This window comes from Homo sapiens, chromosome 22 (assembly GCF_000001405.40).
Source record: "Homo sapiens chromosome 22, GRCh38.p14 Primary Assembly".
NCBI classification, from domain to species: Eukaryota; Metazoa; Chordata; class Mammalia; order Primates; family Hominidae; genus Homo; species Homo sapiens.
This window is the reverse complement of record NC_000022.11, coordinates 48,142,694-48,146,507: the sequence shown is the minus strand read 5'-3', so window position 1 is coordinate 48,146,507 and position 3,814 is coordinate 48,142,694. Positions and strand designations below refer to the sequence as shown.

The 3,814-nt window shown below is 52.0% G+C and overlaps 1 annotated feature.

Moving 5' to 3' along the window:
* Positions 1–733: an enhancer, noted in NCBI's record as "H3K4me1 hESC enhancer chr22:48541592-48542324 (GRCh37/hg19 assembly coordinates)". NCBI's record gives its function as "activates a minimal SCP1, AML or CMV promoter by ChIP-STARR-seq in naive H9 embryonic stem cells {active_cell/tissue: H9 hESC(naive)}" and the evidence as "EXISTENCE:reporter gene assay evidence [ECO:0000049][PMID:30033119]".

Below are 3,814 nucleotides of genomic sequence, written 5' to 3'. Positions count from 1 at the left end.
AGGCAGCTGGGGGCCTCCATTAAGAGAAGGGGTTCCTGGGGGGCACATGTGGATGCCTCAGGCTTAGAGCCTCCAGAGTGAGGCCACCCCACCTGGTGCAGGTGTGCTCAGGTGTCCCCCGACCTCCACCGGCTCCCTGACAGCCTCTGCTCTAGACAGCCCCTGTGATGATAGGTGTGCTTTATGTCCACACTGCCCAGTAAAGGAGCCATCATCCTAAACTTTGACTGGGAGAACTGAATTGTTAACTTTGTTTAGTTGCTGTTAATCTGAAGGTAACCAGTCCCACCTGGTCAAGGGCTACTAAGTTGGATAGAGCAGACCTAGATAGCTGACTCCCAGGCCCCGCCGCATGCAACGCTGGCCCCTGAGGGGCTGCAGGAAACCCAGCAAGACTCAGGGACCAGCCAGGGCTGCAGAATCCCAGGGAAGCCACTCAGGTGAGCAACAGAAAGGAGGCAGGAGGGAGGCAGGAAGGGAAGGCGGCCTTCTCAGCTTACCGGGCGTGCCTGTGGGCGTCAGGGGGTGGGGGCAGATTCTGCCAAGGTTCATGGTCCCCACAGGCTCCTTGTCAGGGACAACCCACGCCTGACAGTGCCGTGGTGCATTTTTGGGTACATGCTGAAAATAGAAGTAACCTAATAAGGTAAAACCACACTTTTTACTCTTATAATTGCCTGGAGATCAGTTACAGGAGGAAAGCCTGCAGCTGCCTTTACGAAGGTTGTAAGTGAAAGAATCTGCCCCATGAGGAACACTGAGCCTGGAGGGCTTGTCCACAGCCCACTCTACCCTCCCAAAGACTGGCTGGGGGCCTGGGGTGGCAGAGGAGGGGCAGCAGCTGGGCAAGCCTGGAGACTCCAGCCCAGTGAGAAAACAGGCAAAAGAACCATGGACTCGGCATCTAATGCCTAATGGGTCCTTATGATGTTGTGGGGTCCCTGAGGCACCTGCTAGGGGATGGAGGAGGGTCAGTTCTGTGGATACAGAAGAGAGGATGTGCGGATCATAGGGCAGAAGTATGAAGGGATCCGTACTGGACAGAGCTGGGCTGGAGGCTGAGTTTGAAGACCTCTGAGATGCTTTCCCCAGCAGAGGTTTATGAGGACAGCCACTTGGCCCCAGGAGCAGCAGGGCGCAGGCTGGGCTAGCCAGCTGTGACTGGCAGAGTTTGGGGAACTGCAAAGGGCTTGGGGGACTGAATCAGGAGACTACACAGAGGGGCTGGCTGTGGGCCTGGCGTCTACACTGCCCAGTGACTTAATGGACTTCAGTAACCATGACCACCTACCGCATGCGATCTCTGTGCAAGGCCATTCTGTATACTAAGTCATCTTATTTTCACCAGGAACAGAGGCATTATTCTCCTTTCTTGAGAGACAAAAGAATCGAAACTCCCGATCCAGCTCATGGACTGTCATGTTGGAAAACCACAGCACAGTGCAATCAAACCCTGAGTACCTCACAGAACCATCCCTCAGGCCACATCAGGATGCCTCTCACCCCCGACTCCCAGAGACACACATCCAGCTGAAACCCCTAACAGGTTAAGACTAACCCAGAAAGCAGAAATTGATCAACCAGCCACTTGCCACATCTCCAGACACACCGGAAAGTGCCCTTCAGTGCCCAGAACAGGCAGGGGTGCTGAAAAGCCACAGGGCTGGGTGACTGGGGGGGGTAGAATCAGACCATCGGGCTATGACAGGGGTAGGGCCCTCAGCCTCGGCAGAAGGGGATCCCATACCCACAGCTGACCCAGAAGATGCGGGTGCAGGAGTTGCTGTTTGGGAGGAGTTTGTACCTGGGGAGGAGGGCATACCTGGGAGCCACAGCAACCCCGAGTTGCAGGATTTCCTGACCAGCCCATCCATGGACTGAGTCTTCAATACCCTGAGACTGCATGAAAATGTGGGAGTAGATTCATTCTTCCAAAACAACATCCATGGCCATCTCAGAGTCTCCATCTGGCCGGCGACCCCACAAGAAAGGGACCATGCTCATGTAGCTCCTGGGCCTGAGGGTTTTCTCCACCCCCAGCTCCTCTCTCTCTGCCCTACCCACCTCCTGCAGGTCCCTCCACATCTCCCTTCTCTCATTCCCTTAAAGCTGCTCCTGCATCTCCCTGCAGGGAGTAGCCCAGGAGTCTCGCCAATGTTCTCAGTGTCTTCCACCTGCTGTCTTGTCTCTTTGCTAAAAGAAGGTAGTTTGCCTCCCTTCCGTGTTCCCATCTGAACAAATAAGCAGGGATGTTTTGAAAAGAACTCAATACCTTCAAGCAACAGAAACGATGGCGCCTGAAGGCCAATCCTCCATTCCTCACTCACACCACAGCCAGTCCCTGTGTCCAGCACGAGGCCGTGTAGCACAGCCAGGGGACACTGTGAGCAGGAGGAACCAGCCCATCTTCAGGGAGCTGAGGCTCATCCCCCAGCAAGAACAGGTCCACCACCAAGGGCCAGGTGCCCCAGGTCTGCCAAAAACATGGTGACCCCGGTGTGGATGCGGAGTGTGTGAAATCACAGCAGCTCATTCTTTCTCCAAGTCATCTGAAAAGGTGGTAACACACCAGGGCCCTGTGCTGGACGCAGAGTGGGCCTGAACACTCCCAGGCAGTCCTCAGGTTCTCTTTTCCTTATTTCTCTGCTGCTATTCCCCACACAGCCTGTTGAACCTTGGCTGTGCATTGGTATTCATTTACACCAGGATGGAGCCACATAAGGAGGGCACCCCGGGGAACTGACAATGGTATCATTAAAAGCAACACCATTTACCTATTGATCGTGTGGAGCCATCGTCCCTCTGGGGTAGGCAGCATCACAGTGCCAACCAAACACGGACCAACTGCAAACCACAGCTCCAGGAAGCCTGCCCTCCACTACACTCTCTTGTAAAATTTATGTTTTGCTTCTGCATTCTCAACTCCCTGTATTCAGTTCTCAATTACAAGTACACAGGAGTCGGATGAGACTGGGTTAGAATTCTGGCTTTACTATTAACAAGCAGTGCGACCCCAGGAGAGAGAGCTAATCCCTCTAATCGTGAACGCCTGATTTAAAGATGGAGATAGTCATGCTCACTTCTCAAGAGAGACAGAATGGATCTAAAACCAGCTCACGTGTCATATAGTCTCCAAAGTATGTTCTATAGGTTGAACAAAGTTATTTCCAGTACTGGTCAGGAATGACATCTAGTTGTAAATAAATAAGAGTCTCAAAAAACAGTGGCTTAAATCAAGGGGGGGTTTTATTATCATTTAAGGAGAAATGCGACTTGCTACCTCTGGTTCAATGGCCCAAAGATAGTAGAGCCAAGGTCTTGGATTTTTCTGAGTCTTTTCCTCAGGGTTAACAAATGGCTGCTGCAGCTCCAGGGATCACACCCATGTCCCCAGCAGATAGAAGAAGAAACCACAGGGAAGACATTGCATCTATGTGAAGAAATCAAGTCTTTCAAGAAGCACCAGAAGATGTCTTTGAACATCTCATTAGATAGAATTATGTTGTTTGCCATTCCTTCCTGCAAGAGAATTTGCAAAGTATACTTTTTGCTGTATACATATTGCCCCTGGGGAAAAAAAAAAATCAAGGTTATTTTACCCAGAAAGAAGAGAGAATAGATAATGGGTTTGCGGCTACAGGTGTCTACCACAGAGGGTTAAAGGTGTGGTGGGTAAGTGAGTGGGGGTCTTTTATGGCCAAATACACCAGGGAAATGCTGGCTAAATCCAATGAAGCAAGCGTCTTTGGTCCTACACACACCAGGAGCCTCCAGCAGGGACGTCCCAGGCAGCATTGCCCAGCTCACACTAACC